This window comes from Homo sapiens, chromosome 7 (assembly GCF_000001405.40).
Source record: "Homo sapiens chromosome 7, GRCh38.p14 Primary Assembly".
NCBI classification, from domain to species: Eukaryota; Metazoa; Chordata; class Mammalia; order Primates; family Hominidae; genus Homo; species Homo sapiens.
Window position 1 is genome coordinate 50,466,640 of NC_000007.14, and position 20,409 is coordinate 50,487,048.

Here is a 20,409-nt window from a genome sequence, read left to right on the forward strand (position 1 = left end):
GAGATGGCTTATGCCCCAACCCGTGTGGGCCAGCCTGCCCTCACCTGGTGAATGCACAGCATCAGGCAGCAAAATAACAGCACGCCACAACACAGTGTCAAACAGACTCCTGTGTGGGCATCTTGTAAAGGTGCGCAGCCAGCAGCTCTAGGGTGGGGCCCAAGACTGGCTTTTCTAAGGAGCTCCCAGACAATGCTGATGATGCTGATGCTGTTGATCCACAGAAGACACTCAGATTAGTGAGGCTATGGACAGGCCGCTGTCCTCCAAGGAGGGCCAGTGGCAGAGGTGTGGGATGGAGCCTTGAGGAAGGAAAAATGGTAAAGATTCTGCGGCCAATAAGCTATGTAAGTTAGAAGTCTCATGGCAGGCTTGAGGAAGCGGGAACAGCCGCTGTGCGTGGAAACAAGGCTGTGTAGCATGGGGCAGGGCAGGCCGGTGGGCCAAAGAATGCAGGCTTTGCTCTGCCATCTCTGGAGAGCCAGTGCCAGTGTTTGAGCATGGAGGTAATGAACAACACTTTCCCCTCTGTCACATTCACAGAAAATGAAGAATGGAATAGATGTAGACAAACCTTTAGCCGAAAGCAGACAAGCCCCAGAATGACTTCCACACAGATTTCAAAGCGGGGATCCTGGCGCACCAGTGACTCAAACTCATGGGACAGCTGGACATGCTTCAAAGAGGAAAGGGAAAATCTGTTTTTCTCATGGCCATTTAATTCAGAACTTAACTACCTAGAAAACCTTATTAGACTGCCCATGTATAATTCATTTAGACGCTCTTGGCAATTTTCCTCAAGTGCTTTTACCGTTCACTGACCAGCTGTTTCCAGGCAGGCTAAGAAACTCATTCCCTACATTAGCACAGGTCTAGTGTCCTCAGAACACCAATTGTCATTTTCTTCTGTTCATGGGACTATTCTTATCCCACCCAAACTGTCTTTTATAATGTTAGAATAAACACCGTGAGGAGGTATTTGATCATTCTGGAAGAGACAATGGCTAATGCCCATCGAGTTGCTCCTCTGTGCTTGAGGTGCCAGCGCTCACCACTGCGGCATCCTCAGGACAGCCCACAACACAGAAGATATCATGATTATCCCCATTTTGGAGATAAGAAAACAGGCTGGGAGAGGGTGAGCGACATGCCCAAGGTGCACCCGGAGGCCTTGGCTGAGCTAGGATTCTAAGGCAGCCTGATGGAGCTGCAGCTCTGTGGCTGCCACAGCTGTTGCTCCTCCTCCGCGTTTGCCACCTAGAGCTGGGCATCCTGTCCGCTCTGTCACATTCAGAAACGGCCTTCCTCTCATTGAATATCACACTGACCTTATTTCACTTCCAAATAGTTATAGAACTCAGAAGCTATTCAGACAGCATGTGATCCTAGGAGAAGGAGCCCTCCGTGGCGTAGGCCCGTGCCTTGCTCATTCTAAGCCCGCGGATACAGCAGGGCCCCCATGTTGCAGGTGCTGGGGAGGACCTGCGGAAACGCGGCGCCTCGCGGGCAGGGGGTGGCTGGGACAAAAACACGTGTCATACGAGTGGTTCCTCGTCATGCCACCAGAGAGCGCCAAAGACCTCGGCCTCATGGGCGATCCCGAAAGCCGGTTCCCGCCCAAGGAGACAGGCTTTGAGCATCGCTGGACTCTGCTCCTAAGGCAGGATTGGGTCCCCTTTAAGAAAGAAGTGGAGTGTGTTTTAAACAGGAGCCAGCATGATCATAACTAGTTGTCCTTGAGCTTAAAGACGTCATCATTGTGGGGAGATAAATCCCTTATTTTTTGGCTTTCTTTCCCCAAAAAAGCTGAATTCGTCTCAAATGGGTAGAGGGGGATTTCCTACCCAGGAATTCATATACATACTCCTTTCCCAGTTCTCGCCCCCAAACAGGTCCTCATAGTGCTCGGCAGCTCCTGGAACTGTCCTCACCGAAGCTTTGGGAGTAGGCAGTTCATGGCACATCCTAGGCATTCTATGAAGCTTGCAGATGGATGTGTTTATATATGCTGTGCCACAGAGGAGGTGGCTGGGGACACCTGCCCCTGCACACCTGGTTGTGAAGTGGCAACAGGACTTAAAATGGAGGGCTGTTACCATCACTAAGGCTGAATATCATAAGTGTGCTTGTTCCCATGAAGCCTGGGGACCTCTGTCCATCAAGATGAGGCCACAGCTTAGGAAGGACACCAGGATCAGAGAGAGCCAGCAGAACAGCAGCAGGCCTTCTGCAGCTGGCTAAACGGGTGGCTCTAGGCAGATCCAGGCTCATATTCAGGACTCAGTTTCCTCATTTTTTTTTTTTTTTTTTTTTTTGGTGAGACGGAGTCTTGCTTTGTCACTCAGGCTTTAGTGCAGTGGCACAATCTCTGCTCATTGCAACCTCTGCCTCCCAGGTTCAAGTGATTCTTCTGCCTCAGCCTCCCGAGTAGCTGGGATTACAGGTGCCTGCCACCATGCCTGGCTAATTTTTTGTATTTTTTTTTTAGTAGAGACAAGGTTTCACTATGTTGGCCAGGCTGGTCTAGAACTCCTGACTTCATGATCTGCCCACCTCGGCCTCCCAAAGTGCCGGGATTACATGCGTGAGCCACCACACCCAGCCAATTGTTATTTTAAAAAAAAAAAAAAAAAAAAAAGCAGGGGAGTGGGGCTTGGAGCTGATAAGTGGTTCTCAAATTTTAGTGCATAGAGAAGGTGTCTGGTTTGCTTGTTAAAACAGAGGTTGCTGGGCCCCACTGCAGGCCGGCACTGCTGGTCTGGAAGCATGTCTGAGAACCACTGGACTAGGGAATATCTATCTTATTCTGGCAATTTTGGGGGAGAAAAACACAGTCCTTATGTTCTCATAATTGCCATTGCTCAATGAACTTCATTCTTGGCTAGATGTGGCTAAAGCACAACCTATGTGATGTTTCTACTGTGACCATCTTCCTGGACCTGATAACCTGCAATCTTAACGAAAGTGACTTAACAGATCTTATAAATAACCTCATCTCAACAACCCAAACTACAGTCTGGTTCTCTTGCCATGTATTTGCTTATTAAGACATTTGAAGGCCAGGTGCAGTGGCTCACACCTGTAATCCCAGCACTTTGAGAGGCTGAGGTGGGTGGATCACCTGAAGCCAGGAGTTCAAGATCAGCCTGACCAACATGGTGAAACCCAATCTCTACTTAAAATACAAAAATTAGCTGGGCATGATGGCGCATGCCTGTAATCCTAGCTACTCAGGAGGCTAAGGCAGGAGATTCGCTTGAACCCAGGAGGCAGAGGTTGCAGTGAGCTGAGATTGTGCCATTGCACTCCAGCCTGGGGGACAAGAGTGAAACTCTGTCTCAAAAAAAAAAAAAGAAAAAAAATTTGAATTTATTTCTAAAGTCCCGAAAGACCTCCGCAATTTTACCGTGATAAATAATAAAAACAAAGTCACCTTGCGGATATAAGCCTGCAGTCCTTTGACTCCATACATCCTAAATACAAACCACATTTTCAAAGAGCGAAATCTTCTGCCCAGTGGTATCTGCCAATGCTGAAATGAAACATGAAACAGACCATCAGTGAGGAAGATATTAAAAGCTGGCTTCCTTTTCGGCTCACCGGCTCGCCTATTTCTCTTGGAGGCAGCCGATTCCCTGGTGGCCAACCTGCTCCCATTGCCATGGCCTGTCTTGGATGGCAGGGCCCTCGGTGATGTGGGCAGAGGCTTTCTTTGCAAATCTCCAAGAGAAAGGAACACAGATGGGGACTGTTGACCTGGGAGCCAGTGATGTTCATTGTTTTCACTCAACAGGTGTTTGCGGCATGCACAGCAGGGCCAGACCTTGGGCTGTCCCCTAGGGTTCCGTGGTGAGCAAACAGGGAAGACACGGCCCTGCCCCCAGTGAGCTCACCATCCAGTGGGGATAAGGGGGTAATTTTCATTGATGTCCTTGCCTACGAGGAAGGAGGGAGCCAGAACCTGCTCTTGTCTGCCACTTCTGCCCCAGATGTTCTGGCACTGTTTTCTAGAGCAATACTGGTTCCCTCTTGGTCCTACTGATCACCATGGAGTGACCCCAAGACCCCTCATCAGAAGACACAATGTGTGTCTCCATGCTGGTGCTCCAGAAGCTTTCCCTGTCCTTCCTCTGGTTTTCCCAGACCCAGTCAGTTGACCGGCCCCCACACACTGAGGGATGGAGATGTGGTGAAGTGAGTAAGGAAGGACTGGGACGAGGAGACTGCTGGGAAGTGAGCATAGCAGCACTGTGTGGTCATCTTAACAGTCATATTCTATTTCAGCTATAAAGGAGACACTGAGGAGAGCTGAGCCAGCTCCCTACTGGGCCTGGGTGACACAGTGCAGCCAGGCGCGACACTCTAGCGCAGCTGGGCCATCTGCCGGGTGGGACTGCTTAGCCGGAGTCCTGAGTCCCGCACTGCTCCCCAGTAGGAGGGCTTGCAGGTGTTTTTTAAAGTGTGGGTGAAGGCCGGATGCGGTGGCTCACGCCTGTAACCCCAGCACTTTGGGAGGCCAAGGCAGGTGGATCACCTGAGGTCGGGAGTTTGAGACCAGCCTGACCAACATGATGAAACCCTCTCTCTACTAAAAATACAAAAATTAGCCTGGTATGGTGGCACATGCCTGTAATCCCATCTACTTGGGAAGCTGAGGCAGGACCCAGGAGGCGGAGGTTGCAGTGAGCCAAGATGGCGCTATTGCACTCAAGCCTGGGCAATAGAGTAAGACTCCATCTCAAAATAAATAAATAAATAAAATAAAGTGTGGGTGGAATGAACAGGTGGCAACTGCTTCTGAACACAAGAGAAGTAGCTCAAGGGCCCAGAGCCATGGTTCTGCAGGAGCTTCTCAAGTCAAAAGGGAAACAGGGACCCAACCTCTGACTCAGGCATTCAGTGTGGTTCCCCCCAGTTGCACACCAGGCCCTGCCCGGTGTGTTGACACATTATCTCCTTTGAGCTTCCTAGCAGCACTGTAAACAAGGGTTCGGATCCCCACTTTCTTGGAGCAAAAGCAGGTATGGAGAGTGACTTGCCCAATGTCACCAAGCCAGCATGCAGCAGAGCCTGAGCCGAACCTGCACACACAGTTGTCTGCTGGTCAGCACTGTTTGCAAGCTGTTGGGCTGCTCAAGAACTAAGCTAACTTGTCTTTTGGGAAATCTAAAAGAAGAACCCCTTATCCCACCACTAGCTGACTGACTATCTAACAGTCAGTAAAACGACGCTTCCCTGCCATGGTTCAGCATGGGCGCTGTGTTCCAAAATCATTCCTCGACTGGTCAACTTCCTACAAATTAAAATGTTAGATTTCAGTCTAACATTTGGAAGAATACCAAGGTAAACTTAATTTCTGTGGTCCCGGAGTGAAAATGCACACAATCTAATTGAATGCTCACTCAAATGTGGCTCCAAATGTTGTCATGTTCTCTCCAGAGACTGAATTCGATGCACTGTCCCCTCCCCCAATATGCTCCTGGGTGCCTGCAGTAGACAGCTGTGACCCCTGTGTACCCAGCCTCACCTCCTGCCAGACTAAGTTCCCAGAGGAAAGGGACTCTGTCTCATTTGCCTTTTTAGTCCCAGCCCCAAGCCCAGCACCTGGCTTGGCATGGCGCGGCCAGCCCACATTTTGTGGAAGATTGTTGATGGACGTACTTAAATAAATCAGGAGTAAAACCCATTTGACCCTCATTCATGGGTCATCTGAAAGGATTCTTTATGTAGAAGTCAATTCATATTTGATGCTTCCCGGACATCAAATGATCTATTTCCTGGTACTTTTTCCTCCACAATTGATCATTTTTAAACCTGTATTTTGTCCCATTTTTGATAAGCCATCAACATCTTCCAGAAGATGCAGTTTCCTCATCCAAATAGCATGCAGGGCTGCATGGCTCAGTGGCTTGTGACCTAGGTCCGTGGTCCTGTCTTTCAATAGGTTCAGCAAACTTTTCTGAACCTCTGTCTCCTCCCCTATGAAACAGGCATAATGATGCCCACTTTACCCAGGACCGTGCAAACTGGAGGCAAATGGTGCTGTCTTACATCTTCAGTGTGCCGTTCACCATCAGAAAGAACACAGAGCTCTCTTGCCATACCTCGCGTCCTGAACAGCCTCCTCCTGGGACTAACACTCTGTCCTCGTGCCCTCATCTACTGACGGGGGATAGAACTACCAGGGTCTGCTCATCCTTTTCACCCCACACTTTCTCACTGGCCCAGTAGGCAGCCCACCATCCAGGGATCTTCTCCCCAGACTGATGGATCTTCTCCCCAGACCGCCTTAGGTTTGGGTTTCCAGCCTCTTTGAACAAAATGAGAATGTCTATGATATTCCTTCCCATTCCCTGCTGAGCCCAGCAAAGCAAATGCTCTGGGGACATTTGCCTGGAATTCACATTCAAGGTGGGAATCATAGAGGAGCCTGAGAGGTGCATGTGAGCACAGAGAGGGAAAGAGGTCACTGCATTGTAGCTAAAATAGCAGCAAAGAGAAGATGCCGGGAAATACGGCCAGGGACATCCCTGGGTTGTGGCAGATGGAGAGGGTTCAGTAAGAGGCAGTGACACTTGTGCCTGCACCCAAGGGATAGAAAGAGCAAAGCTGGGCTGAGAGGTGCCCTGGGGGCTCTGCACACCAGGGCCCTGAGGCTGCTCCCATACTCACACCCGGCCAACTTGTGTGTGCTTTCCCGGTGGCTGCCCGGGGCTGTCCCCACATGGCCACTCCTGCTTCCTGGGGCTGGTATGCTGAGGCCTAATGCCTGTGCTTCGCATTTAGAAGCCCCTCTGCTCCAGAACAGCTTTCACCTTCTGCATTCCATCTTTCATAAGGTTCATGCGTTTGTCCCCTCATCAGCCATGAAACATTGGCTGTGAACACATGATGTGCCATCTCCAGCCCTCTCTAGGAACACAGCAGCACAGAAGGCCAATCACCCCAGAGAGCCTCCCAAGCCTGGTGGATGGATGCCAGTGGGACTGGGCTGCTGTGGTGCTTCCCATCTGCCTGGGTTCCTTTAGAAGCAACAGGCAGCCAAACAAGGACTGTCCCCACATGGCTCCTGACTCATGCACTGCCAGCCATAGTGCCAGGGATCTCAGCATCATTGCCTGCCACAAGCGGCAAGAGGAGAGCTGGCAGGCAGAGGACTAGCTAAGGACTTGGGGCATGTCCTCTTGGGCCACAAAGGGCAGGCTGGAGGATCGAGGTGTCTCAGGTGTGTTTCAGAACAGGCATCAGGGCCTGCGTGGTCTGCGCCTCTGTCTCCCTCAGTGGCCTGGGAGTCTTGGAGGTGGCTTTGGGCCTCACTCACCTCTGAGTAGCTGCAGGAGCAGCTCATAGCTCCTGGTTGGAAAGGGAGTGCCAGTCAAGGGGCTGCCTTGAGATGGGGTGAAAGAGACCCAGGTCTCACAGCAGGACCAACAGGGTGGGGAGTACAGGGGCTGATCAAAGGATGCTTTGAAAGTAGGGCTGGAGCACAGGTTGCTGATGCTTGACCTTTCCTTAACCGAGGCCAATGCCTTTCATTAAGCTAGTAGAGATAACTAGTAGAGATAACTAGTTGAAGTAACAGAAGGACAAACGCTTTTCAAAGAATGCTTGGCCTATCAAGGCAGGGTGAATGGTGGGCTCAAGTCTTCTGGATTAGCAGTGCGGAAAGGGCCTGAGGTGCTGAGGAGAGTGAGGCTCAGCACTAAAGACAGAAGGGGACAGAAAGACCCCATGAGGGTCAGGGACTGGTGGTGGAGGGAGTAGGATGAAGAACCTAGGGTTGGGAAGAAGGAGTGAGCCCTGAGGACTGGAAGGCCCTGGATGGAGCAGAAGAACAGGCTGGGGAAGCCTCAGGCAAGCCCTGCCACCTTCGTGGTCCTGCAGGCGGGTGCCAGTACAGATCTGTGATTCTTGGTGAACGGTAGAAACTGTCTGAGGAGATCATGTTCCCTGAGCTGCTAGATGCGGGCAGAGCTGGGCTGGTTTTTGTCTTGGGCAATGTAACATAAGCCAGCATTGCTGGGGATTGTGCCCCAGGCCTTTGAAAGACAGTGCCAAGTTTATCTAAAAGGACTTTGGTTCCCAGAGGACTTGTTAGTCAATACGGAGTTTTTAGCAAAGCCTATGTTATTTTATGTGAACCAGAGATGGTGTTGTGCCTTTTTTTCTAATGATATCTAAGCTGGGAAAGAGCAAAATTAAAAAATAATAAAATAAAAGGCATGAAGTGTTCGTGCCTGTTACCCCATTTTCAGTCTCATGCTGCAGGAAGCAGCTCATCCTCAGCAGAAAGCTGGATGTGCCAGATGCCCACTGCATAGTCATTTAGGAAAGCAAGGGACTTTCCCAGGGAAGTAGTTAAATAACAGGGAAATAATTATACCATATAACATGGGATTCTGTGTAGATTTTCTGTACTTACTAAGGCTGTGGAGGAGTGGAGAAGGTATTGCAATTTTAGTTTCAGTGCCATGAGAACCAGCTGCAATGTCGTTTGTACAGCACGTGGCCCTCATGCAACATGAAGTCTGAGAAAGGCCACGAACCAGAGGAGGAGACAGAAACACAGGCCACAGAGGCGCGAGGATGAAAGGTCAGGGTGAGCTGGTCCTCAGGTTATTTTTAATATTATTGTCATATTTTCCCTTCAATAATAACTTTCCAAAAGATAAGTCAGATTGACAATGGGATTATATGAAAGTTTTAAATGGCATCATCCATGGATCTTCCCAGTGTGCCCTTATGTGCACACACCCTGGCCTTTCTCCCTGGGTGTAGAGCTGGGTGGTCCCAGGCAAACTTTGCCAAAACTGTCCTAGGACCAGCCTTGATGGCTTGGGAAGGTTTACTGCTGCCCCCCTGCCTCCTGGCTCACAGCTGTCACAGGAAGAAGGCAAGCTACCCATGCCTTTGAGGGGAAGCCCCTGCTGGGTCATTATCACACCGGCTGCTGACAATGTTTGCTCCAAACGCACTTAGACACACACCTCTGTCGGGAAATGGCAGCCTCTGCTTTGATGATGTCTGGTGCCCACCACACGTGGACACAGGTCATTTTTTTTTTTTTTGAGACAGAGTTTCACTCTGTCACCCAGGCTGGAGTGCAGTGGCATGATCTCGGCTCACTGCAACCTCTGCCTCCCAGGTTCCAATGATTCTCCTGCCTCAGCCTCCGGGGTAGCTGGGATTACAGGTGCCTGCCACCACACCCAGCTAATTTTTGTATTTTTAGCACAGATGGGGTTTCACCATGTTGGCCAGGCTGGTCTCGAAGACCTGACCTCAGATGATCCACCCACCTCAGCCTCTCAAAGTGCTGGGATTACAGGAGTGAGCCACAGCACCTGGCCACAGGTCATCTCTTGATGGCAGAAGACAGCCAGCTCAGTGGCCACACCTCTGTTCCCCCTGAGTTTCACCCTCCCCCTTGGGTTCTATTCTTTTGATAAGCTTCGCAGTACTGCCTTTGGTCCCAAATTCCTTTCCAGACTAACACTAGAACAACCTGGCATTTTCAAAGTATGCCTCATTCAACACTTGTTTCAAATAAAAACGAGAGAGGACCAATGCATTTGAGACTAGGCTGCTGAGATGACTGGCCCCACCTGGGAGCTTTTTCTGTTCCCTGACTCCTCCCTCACTCTCCCACTGCCACCACCAGTGCAGCCCCAGGCACACAGCAGCCCAGGGCAGAAGGGCCTTTTCCTTCCAGAGGAATGAGGGGCAGAAGCTCCTTTCTCCTCCCCAGGAGCAAAGTCCAGGGTCCAGGTTTCCCCCTCCTAACCTGAGACCTCTGACTGAGGGGTTCAGCAGAGCTGCCCGCCACCTGGCAGGACCCCCCTAATTTGTCAGTTAGGACCCAGTTAGAAGGTGCCCACCAGTGCGTGCTGATCATGAGAGTGGGGGAGGAGATGTGTGACAGCTGTGGCGTAGCCCCCCAGCACTCCACTAGCATTTGAGATTACAGTGGAATCTCCCACTTACCCGGTAGTCAGTGATAAGCCCTGGAGAAAAGAGAAAGAAAAAGAAAAAAGAAATCGTTAGACAGGTTTGTTGATCACACGCTAATCCTTTTCATTTTCCAGGTAAATTTCTTGTGTCTTCTAAGCCAGAAATAAAACTGCCCAAAGGCTGGGTCTGGGTGTTCTTTGCGGCACTTCCCAGGGTAACATATTCTAAGGGTGTGTCCCGAGAACAGGATGCCCAAAACACAAATTGGAAATGTTACACTCTCAATAGACCCCCATTAGTTTTGCTTTCTGCAGTTACATAGCATGAACATCTGAGGTTTCATCTAGTGCCCAGTAGAGAGTTAGCATTCAGATCACGTAAATCGTTCATCATTCATTCATTCATGCATGGGAAGGTGAATTTGTGATATACGGAGTGATTAGAATATTTTAAAAAGGAGAATGAAACTCTTGGTGGGATTATTCATCTCTGTATCCGTGGATCTTAGCAGATCTTAGTTCAGTATCTGGGACAGAGCAGACACTCAGTGAATATCTGCTGAGTCAGTTTTAACATCCAGGAATCATTGGCTCCACATTGGTTATGAAAAATGGATGATTTGCTTTTGAGCCTCCCCTCATGCCTAAAGCAGCAAACCCCAGGACAATAAAGGAGAAGGAACCCTGAATGCAGGCTCAGAGACGGGAGTTTCTATTAATACAAGTGATCCTGCACAAGACATCAGGTGAGGATTATGACAACATGCTGCAGTCCTGCTGCACAGATCGGTGGAAAAGGGAGTCTTGTGCTCTGGGAGTAGATCCACGAATGTGGGCTGGACCAGGCACATCAGTGTCCCCTACTTCCGCAGTCAACAGGGGCTGTGGCAGGGCCATAGCAGGCCCTGACCATGCTCAGCTGGGACAAGCTGTCCACCTAATACAACCCACGCCCCACCCTGCACTTCATCCACTGCACAGGAGTGCCTACATTGTATTTACAAGAACATCTGAAGTCACCACTTGGTATCATTCCCTAATAGTTATTTTCTCCACTAGCATAAAAAATGGCAGTGCTGGGAGGAGATGCAAGACCTCCACCCCCTGTTTTATGAGTGACCCTGAGATGGAAGCCCAAAGTCATACAGCCTATCTCAACCCATACACAGTACTCTCCTTTACGACACATGGCCTCTCATTAGTAAGGGAGCTTGTTAAACAAACATAACATCAATAGCAGCATCTGGCAATGATTCACAGAAACCACTGCAAATGAAACAACAACACTCAACAGAGTGCATGCAGAAAGCACTCAGTAAGAAATTGTCGACGCCAGGCGTGGTGGCTCACACCTGTAATCCCAGCACTTTGAGAGGCCAAGGCAGGCAAATCGCTTGAGCTCAGGAGTTCAAGACTAGCTTTGGCAACATGGTGAAACCCCGTCTCTACCAAAAAAAAAAAAAAATACAAAAAATTATCTGGGCCTTGTGCTGTACGTCTGTGGTCCCAGCTACTTGGAAGGCTGAAGTGGGAGGATCACTTGAGCCTGGGAGGTGGAGGCTGCAGAGAGCCAAGGTTGCACCACTGCATTCCAGCTTGGGTGACAGAGCCAAACCCTGTCTCAAAAAAAAAAAATTGTCAAAGAACCAGATGATTGTCATGAATGAAAATGAGGGAATGGCCCACCTTTTTAGTTTCTATTACCGCACCATCTGATACGGTAGCTAGTAGCCACATGTGGCTGTTGACGTTTAAATTTAAGTTAATTAAAACTAAAGGAAATTAAACTTTAGTTCTTCAACAGATGAGCCACGTTTCAAGCACTCAGTAGCCACATGCGGACTGGTGGCTGCCATATTGGGTGGTGCAGAATTATAAATTTCCCTCATTGCAGAAACTTCTACAGGAAAGAAAAACTGGAGGCTTTCAGTAGAAGAATTCAGATACGGTGTCTAATTAGTGCAAGTTCCTATCTGCTTCTCCGTGAATCTGCTTCCTTATGGACGAGTAAAGAACTGGCCCAGTTAGAAGCTTCCTTGCACAATTCTTTACTGTTAACATAAAGAAATGACAAACCTCTTAGCCAGTAGTTTCCTCTGACAATGGTTTTACTTGAACTGTGGACTACTTAATAGGTCTTATGTGCCTCATAAGATGTAAAACTTCATGAGGTACATGTGGGAAGGGCAGCTTGTATATTGGTAATTGGTAAGTGGTGCAGAGTTAAAGCGAACAATGCATTGAACAAGACTGGTAAGAAATACAGCAATATATTAGCAATATTTGCATTTGAGTGGTGGGATTACAGGAATTTTCTGGCCCAGCGTTGACTCTATTTTCCAAATGTACATCTTTAATAATAAGGAATACATCTTCAAAGCCTACATGACTAGTGTAACCACTTTACCTCCTCACCAGCGTTGTGACAGAATTTTCAGTTATCAAAAAAATTCTATTTATTTTGGTTCTAGTTCAACGCCTACCATTAATTAGCCAGATACACTGGCCCAAGTCAAATGAGACGACATAGGTGAAGTGCAAAAGCCAAGAATTGTGCATTCCGTGCTGTGGCCCCAGAGCAGCCTGTGTCCCCTGATGCCACTCGATAACTGCCCACTCATCCCCTCCCTGCTAGACGTTGCAGGTGGGTGCTGAGCCTCCTTGGCTGTCACCAGCGCCAGGCACAGAGAGCAGGCCTACTGACCAAATGACTTAGGTGCACCTTTGTGTGCTGATCTGAGCCTTGGCTTCATCTTATTTTCTCTTCCCTCACCAACCCTACTCAACCTTCTTCATTTACTTTGCCCCCTCATGGTATTGGTGGAAGGTGATGCAAAGCCTTTTTGTAGACATTATGGCTGTCATTATGTTAAAGACGTTTCCTTATCTGCAGGTGGTATGCATGCCCATATTAAAATCCCATGGCTGTGCCCACCTGCCCCTGCTCCTGCAATGAGCCCAGCAGGTTCTCAGTGCTTCTAGAGCAGGAGCCTCCCCCAGGGAGCCTCCCCAAGCCTCTTAACCAACCCACAGGGAGTGGGCTACAAGGGCAAATCCAGGAATGCACAGCACCCCGTCTTCTCTGTGAAAGCCTCCTTGGATATGGATGGTCTTCCCCTAACTCCCAGGGACCTCCAGGGCAGCTCTGAGGGGAACAAGACCAGAAACAGTCCACAGAAAGCAGGCTCACAGCTTACCTGAATCCTGATGGCTGTGCTTCAGGTAAGTGGGGTCCAGTCTAAAGGCTCCCGTTAAGTCTGTTCTCTTTTTCACCCTGGTTTTAGAGAACAAATGAAAGGGCTGATAACCAAGTACCCTAGACTGGACCACCTCTCCCCTCTCCCCACCTGCCTCAGCTCAGGCACCTGCTCCCAGCCCTGCCCTGAACACCACTCTGCCTGCACGGCCCTGTCTCTGCTCCAAGTACCTGGGGAGGGCGTCTTAGAATAAAAAATAAATATTTGGTCTTTGTTACCAGTTCCTGGCACACAGCTCCTAAAACCCTTGAGATCTCCTAGTGATAAGGGTTCATTTTGCATGTTAATAAGATAGCTGGCAGCTGGGGTCTCCTCGATGGCTTCCAATCTCCAGGGAGGGTAGGGGGCTGGAGATGAGTTGGCCAGTGATTTAAGCAATCATCCCTACTGAATGAAACTCCGTTAAAAACTCCTAAGTGGCAGGATTGGAGAGCTCTGGGTTGGTAAATGCTTCATGATGCTGGGATGGTGGCATACACAGAGAGGGCATGGAAGCCACGTGACCTACCACCCCACTTGTACTTTGCCATTGCATTTCTTTGTTTGTACTCTTTATAACCTGTAAACCTAAGTAAAATGCTTTTTTGAATTCTGTGAGTTGTTCTAGTAAGTTACTGAACCTGGGGCAAGGGTTATGGGAACCCCCCTGAGTTTGTAGCCACGGTGGACAGAACTGTGGGTAACCTGGAGACCCAACACTGTAACTGGCATTTGAAGTGGGGGCCGGCTGATGGGACTGAGCCCTTAACCCTGTGGAGTCTGACGCTACCTCTAGGTAGTTACAGTCAGAATAGGAGTGAGTTTAGGACACCCAGCTGGTGTCTGCAGAGTTGGAGAATTGGTGTCAAGAGGGAAAACCACAGAGGTTAGCATTTGCTCCTCTCTCTCTTTCCAGGGACAGCACAGTGACTGGCCCTGCTGGCATCAGTAAGTGTGTGTGGGGTGAAAATCCCAAGGGCTAATGAGTGAGAAGGCCAGGATGCCCTGGGCTGCAGACAGGGGTCCTCTTTCACCTGTCTGCACACAGAGCACTCACACTGGTAGTCATTCTGCAGAACTCGGACGCAAACTCTCACTGGGCTGGCCTTTGAAGGGCCTGTGCTTTACGGTAATTGCCATTGCTCTGCTTCATTGGCAGTGTGGTGACACCATCACAAAGCAATTTTGTAGCAAATAAAGTATCCTAAGGGCAAACTAGAGAAGAAATGTTAATCTGACAGTAGCTTAGGCTTGAAAACAAATAAAACGTGAGAGTCCCTGAAAGACAGAACCCAGTGAGCACAAAATAGGATGCTGAGATGTGGCTTACCAAGGAGGTGAGAGAGAGGCTGGATTTATCTATAAATGGTCATTGAGCCTTTATTTTTGTTTTAAGGTTAAAGACAGACAAAGTCAGTAGGAATAATAAGCTGTCTAGTGTATATTCTTTCTTTGACTTGTGGAAGAAAATTGCACCTAATTTTTTGTGTGTATAGGAATTTTCTTGCATCATAGGCATTTTATGGGGAGCCACTGGTTGTGGGGGGAGGTCCTTTGGGTCTCTCTGCATTAGAGAAAGCTCTGTGCCTAGACTTAAAAAGAGGGGACCAAGAGGGATGTGAATATTTATGGCTATCAGTAGAACTCTGCCCTTTGTCCACAAAGATCACACTTTCCCTTCTCATTCTCAGCAGGGGCCTTCCAGCTGTTTTTTAATTTAAAAAATTTTGCACTAATTAAAGCCATACAAAAGATGTAAAGAATAAATCACCACCCCCTGCTTATGAAATAAAACTTAAATTATAAGTATTAATAAAAGTTAAATATTCCTGTCCCTCACCTACTTCCTCTCCCTGTCCCACACAAGAGGCCACAAGGCTGAATTTGTGTTCCTACTCTTACATAGTTCTACAAAATTTTCTCTCCAAATCCCTAAGCAATCTATATTATTTTGCACACTGCTAAACATACTGTACCATAAACTTAAGATGTATTATCTTAAATTTTATAATTCCATGCATGTTTCTATAATTTGCTTTCTTACCCCAAAATAGACCTATGAGTTTCACATTCATTCATGCGCAGGGCTCTTGCTCACTCATTTGTATGACCTCCTGGGATTTTAGTGCATGCACATATCCCAATCCATTCATTCTATCATTTCCCATTTATTGATAGACAAACTACACTGATGTGGACATGGGACCATCCCTGTGCATACTCCTGGAGCCCCTAGTGGCAGCGCCCGTCGGCCATGCATCTGCCAATGGAATAGCACAAGGTGAGCTATGTTAAGGTTGGAGGAAAGCATCTATCTACGGCCGTATTCAATAGCTCCAAATCAGTCTCCACAACAGTTCTGCAGTCTGCGAGCTCCTCTTCCATATCCTGGTCAACGTTTAGTATGAAGAGACTATTGTAAACAACCTATAGTGTTTTACTGGGATTTCAATTTACATTTCTGATTACTAAGGAGGGTGAGTAACTTTGTATTTATTAAGCATATCTGTTTCCTCCTTGATAAAGAATTTTTTGTTCATTTTTCTGTTAGATTGCTTATCTTGTCATATTGGATTGCAACAATTCTGTAAACATTAGAAGCCCTAATTGGAATATGTGGAGTCTGTTTCTGGCTCTCTCTTCTAATGTGCTCTACCCATCTGTGCCCGCGCTGGTGCTACATGAGTTCAGTCGTGGTTACTTTACACACACACGTTGATATTTAAGGAGGCAACTTCCTCACTATATTTTTTTTCACAATTATCTTGGCTATTCTTGGCCCATATAAATATTATGCCAGGATATTTATTAGAATTGTGCTGAGGTCTAATATCGAGTCTTCTTTATGAACATATCATCCTACTTAGGACTTCTTTAATGACTTCCAAAAAATTATAGAATTTTCTCCATATAAATCTGAACAGGTTTGGATATGTTTGTTCATAGTAAACATATCTTTTCTTGCTATTATAAAGAGTGTTACCTTTGTAAAAATTACACATACTGTTTAATGTAGATGTAAAAAAATGCAACCTTAAAAATGTTAGTGTATCTAGACATCTTGCTGGGTTCTTTTATTAATAATACTTTGAGGATTCTCTTTTTATTGAGGTTACATCATCTGACAATGAGAGTTTTATGTCTTCCATACTGATCCTTACATGTTTACTTCTTTATCTTTTTTTTTTTAAATTATTATGGAGGTTAGGAAAGTCCAGTGTTGAATAGAAGTGCAGATTATGGGAATCCTCATTTTTTTCTGATTTTAAAGGGAGTGCTTCTAATATTTCACCATTAAGTAAAGGTTCACTATGTTTTTTGGTAGTTACCTTTTATCAGATTAAGAAGTTCTCTGCTGTTCCGATTTTACTAAGACATTTTGTCCTGAAATGTTGTTGACTTTTATCTAATGCTTTTTCTGCATCTAATATGATAACTTTTTTTCTCCTTCTCTGTTAACATGGTGACTAGCACTTTAAAAATCTTCTACTATTAAACCATCCTGCCATATCCAGATTAAACACAGTTTGGACATGGTATACTATATTTTTTAAAATCTCATTGGATTTTATTTGCTAATGTTTGACATAGAATTTTTACATTTAAGTTTGTGAGATTGTTTATAGCTTTTCTGTCTCAGCTTCTCATCTGGTTTTAGAATCAAATTTAGACTGGCTTCAAGATATAAGAGGCAGTGTGGCCTCTTTTGCTGCTCTCTGTGAATTATACTTAGGATTGGACTGATAAGTTTCCTGCAGTTTAGGATACTCATTATTTAAGAATTTGGGTATTTCTGGCCATGTGCAGTGGCTCACACCTGTAATCCCAGCACTTTGGGAGGCCGAGGCGGGAGGATCACGAGGTCAGGAGATCGAGACCATCCTGGCTAGCACAGTGAAACCCCGTCTCTACTAAAAATACAAAAAAAATTAGCTGGGCATGGCGGCGGGCACCTGTAGTCCCAGCTGCTGGGGAGGCTGAGGCAGGAGAATGGTGTGAACCTGGGAGGTGGAGCTTGCAGTGAGCCAAGATCGCGCTACTGCACTCCAGCCTGGGCGACAGAGCAAGATTCCATCTCAAAAAAAAAAAAAGAATAATAATTTGGGTATTTCTGCTGTAAGAAAATTTTACTATTGACATGTTGTATTAACAATAAGATTTTTCAGGTTTTCTATTTACTCTTGAGTCAGTTTTGGTATCATGTTTTGTTGTAGTTATTGAATATATGTGTTTATGGGCAATTCTTGGCATGATGTTACTCATAATGCTCCCTTACTATTTTCGGAAATCTCTGAAGTATCTGTAATTGTGCCATTGTATTTTCTACTACAAGTTAATCTGTGTTTTCTTTATTTTTGACCTATCTTTCCAGAGATCGTTTATGTAATTAGGCAGGCCAACTACCAACATCTGGCTTTGTCGATCCTCTCTGTTGGGTCTTTTTTGTGTATTTTGTTACATTTCTTAATTCTTATTGCTTTCTTCCTTTTACTTTTTGGAGGTTTATTTTGTTGCTGCTTTCTAGCTTAATTTTGATACTTAGCTTATGATTTTCTGGCTTTCCTCTTTTCAATTGATGTCTGTTTTGTAGGTGCTGCTTTAGCTGTGTGTGGCAAGTTTGGTTGCATGTTTCTTTTTGTTCAATTCTCAGTATTTGCAGCTTCCCATTATACTTTATTCATTGGCCCATGTTTCTAATGGGCCTGTGGTAGTCGCCTCTTCAATATTTAGGTACTAAATTTGCATTTCTTGTTAAGATTTAATGGATATTATAAAGAGAAAGAATTTTATGGAAACAGATGTGTATGTGTACTTGAGGACATACATGGGCACACACACACACAGAGAAACATGCTTTTGTGGCACCAAAGTCACCTCACATGGTGACCTCACCTGCATGAGACTTTTGGTGAGGAAAGCCTCTCTCTGTAACCAGACACATTCCTAGGGGATCAGGAAAAGGACCCTTGTGTTGGGTTGAAAGCCTGGCTCCTTACGTTTTCTTTTTTAAAAAATCTACAACACTACATAGTGCTCACTGAATGAGCACTCACATGACCTCCTGGTCCCAATAACATCCATAAAAAATTCAAGATAATAAAGGGTTCCCAGATCTAAGTGCAAAGAATCCAAATAGATAAATAGAAAACTATCCACTAAGACTTTTAAAACAAGTTCTAGAATCAAGTCTCAACGATTACTAGAATGATTAAAACTGTTTCAGAGAAATAGAATTTTTAAAAACCTCCCAATGCAACAGAAGTGTACAAACACTATAAAATAATTTGTGGCAAAATTTAACATTTTGGGAAAAAAAAACAGGCCATCTTTTAAATGTGGATAATATATGCCTTTCGTGTGTATGGAATTTGAGTCTTTCTTTGGAGATCTGATATTAAAGAGGCAATAAGCTCTGGACAGAATGGCTCACATTTACAGATAAAAGATTCAGAATATCAAATGAACAATAAGAAGCTTATGAACAGAATAATTATTTCATTATAAAATGTATTTACTGTGCTTATAATGATTGCCAGTTTCAGAAACTTCAATTATTTTGTCTATTTCAGTATTTAAAGAGTACAACCAAAGTGTTTATGTTAAATTATGGACTAACCATTAGTAAAATTTCATTAAACAAAAGAGAAACACTTCTAATTTTAAAGAATACAAAGAAACCAGTGAAAGCAATAAAAAATCCATTTATATGTTGTTTACTGAATTAGTGAAATTTTAAAAGACACTTTAAAAATTCACCACTTAGGATTTTTTTGCTTAGTTTAAACTCTTAGGAATCTAGAGGAATATTTGTCCTTTTGTGAATTCTGGTTCTTACAAGTGTCCTTATTATCTGTGTTCTATTGTGTTAAGGTAGATCACGTTACTGTAATCTTCTCTTAGACTGTCAAAATATTTATTTTTATTTCATGATATCTGGACAGTGTGAAAAAGCCTCTGAGTAGAGATTCTCAGCCCTCACTCTCCCCACTCCCTGTCTCCACGTTACAAGGCACCATTCGCAAACAGGCAGGGGAAGCCAACCTCGACCAAGCATGATCAGTGGATCCTGCCTCTTAGATGGGATAATAATATAGTCCCTAAAAAGCTTATGAACAGAATAATGAATTCATTATGAAGTATACTTGCTGTACTTGTAATGATTGCCATTTTAATGTAACGGTGTCTAGAGGAAGGGATGCTGTGTTCCACCTACTTGTCTTTTGCTCTGAGGCTGTACATCCTGGGCTAAAATTCGAGACTACTTCCAGTGTTTACAGTGAAAACCAAGTCAATAACAGCTTGAACAAAAGTGACCCTGATTTTGGCTCATTTACACCAAAAAACAGCTCTCATTCTCCAGCTTCTATATCCATAAGAAGTGATCCCAGTGGGTTCTATGTGCATCTTTTTGTTTGTATTTGTATTTGTAAAACGTATGTTGCTTTGCGTGCATGCACTCTTGGTTTGCATACTATCAGATACAGCACAGGCCACTGTGTCAGCAAGGCAATGTGAAGACTATCCACTGTGGAATGAAGAAAATAAGTTTTTGGTGGTAAGAAAATGAGGAAAAAACAGGGATGTGGGTGTTTGGGTATAGTGAGATCAAATGAAAATATAAGTTTCATAGCTATCAAATAAACAAATCAGTAAGTAGATGATCATTAAGATTATGGAGTTTAAAATAAGCTGACCTGGTTTAAATCCTTAGATATGAGGCTTATGGCTTTAACTAGTGATTTCTTGTGAGCGCTGTTATGGACCAAATTATGTCCCCCTTCCTCCTCATTCACATGTTGAAGCTCCACCTCCCAGGACCTCAGAATATGACTGACTGTATTTGAAGATAAGGCCTTTAAGAGGTGATTTAGTAAAATGAGGTCATATGGTGGGGACTTTGAAAGGCAAATAAAAACCTGACACCCCAATTCACTCTGCCAAAAGGAAAAATTAAGCTTAAAGCTAAGTCATGCAAGGAGTTGCCTTTCCTTTTGTTCCTAAGTAGAGAGCTACAGCTAAAAGGTTAAATATCTCCACTGGTAACTACTCTAAGTTCATCTTATCTGTTGTAAAGTGCTATTTTACTGAGTGGGAGATGAATACATAATTGACTATTCCCCTGCCTGCTCCTTTTCTCTTGCAACACGTGGATTACCATACCCTCCCTCTTTCCCTCCAGACAACTTTAATAGTTTAAGTAGGAAAAAGAACATTTTTGAAAA

The 20,409-nt window shown here is 45.6% G+C and overlaps 1 protein-coding gene across 9 annotated transcripts in view; it reads right to left on the reverse strand.

Moving 5' to 3' along the window:
• DDC (dopa decarboxylase) overlaps positions 1 to 20,409 on the reverse strand; it is a 106,964-nt gene that overhangs the window by 8,198 nt on the left and 78,357 nt on the right. For all 9 annotated transcript variants that reach the window (XM_005271745.5, NM_001082971.2, XM_047419932.1 and 6 more), the window contains 4 exons: positions 13,148 to 13,224; positions 9,985 to 10,004; positions 3,434 to 3,532; positions 575 to 676 (listed from right to left, as the gene is read on the reverse strand). In XM_005271745.5, the coding sequence (XP_005271802.1) occupies positions 575 to 676; positions 3,434 to 3,532; positions 9,985 to 10,004; positions 13,148 to 13,224 (298 nt within the window). The remainder of the gene's footprint in view (positions 1 to 574; positions 677 to 3,433; positions 3,533 to 9,984; positions 10,005 to 13,147; positions 13,225 to 20,409) is intronic.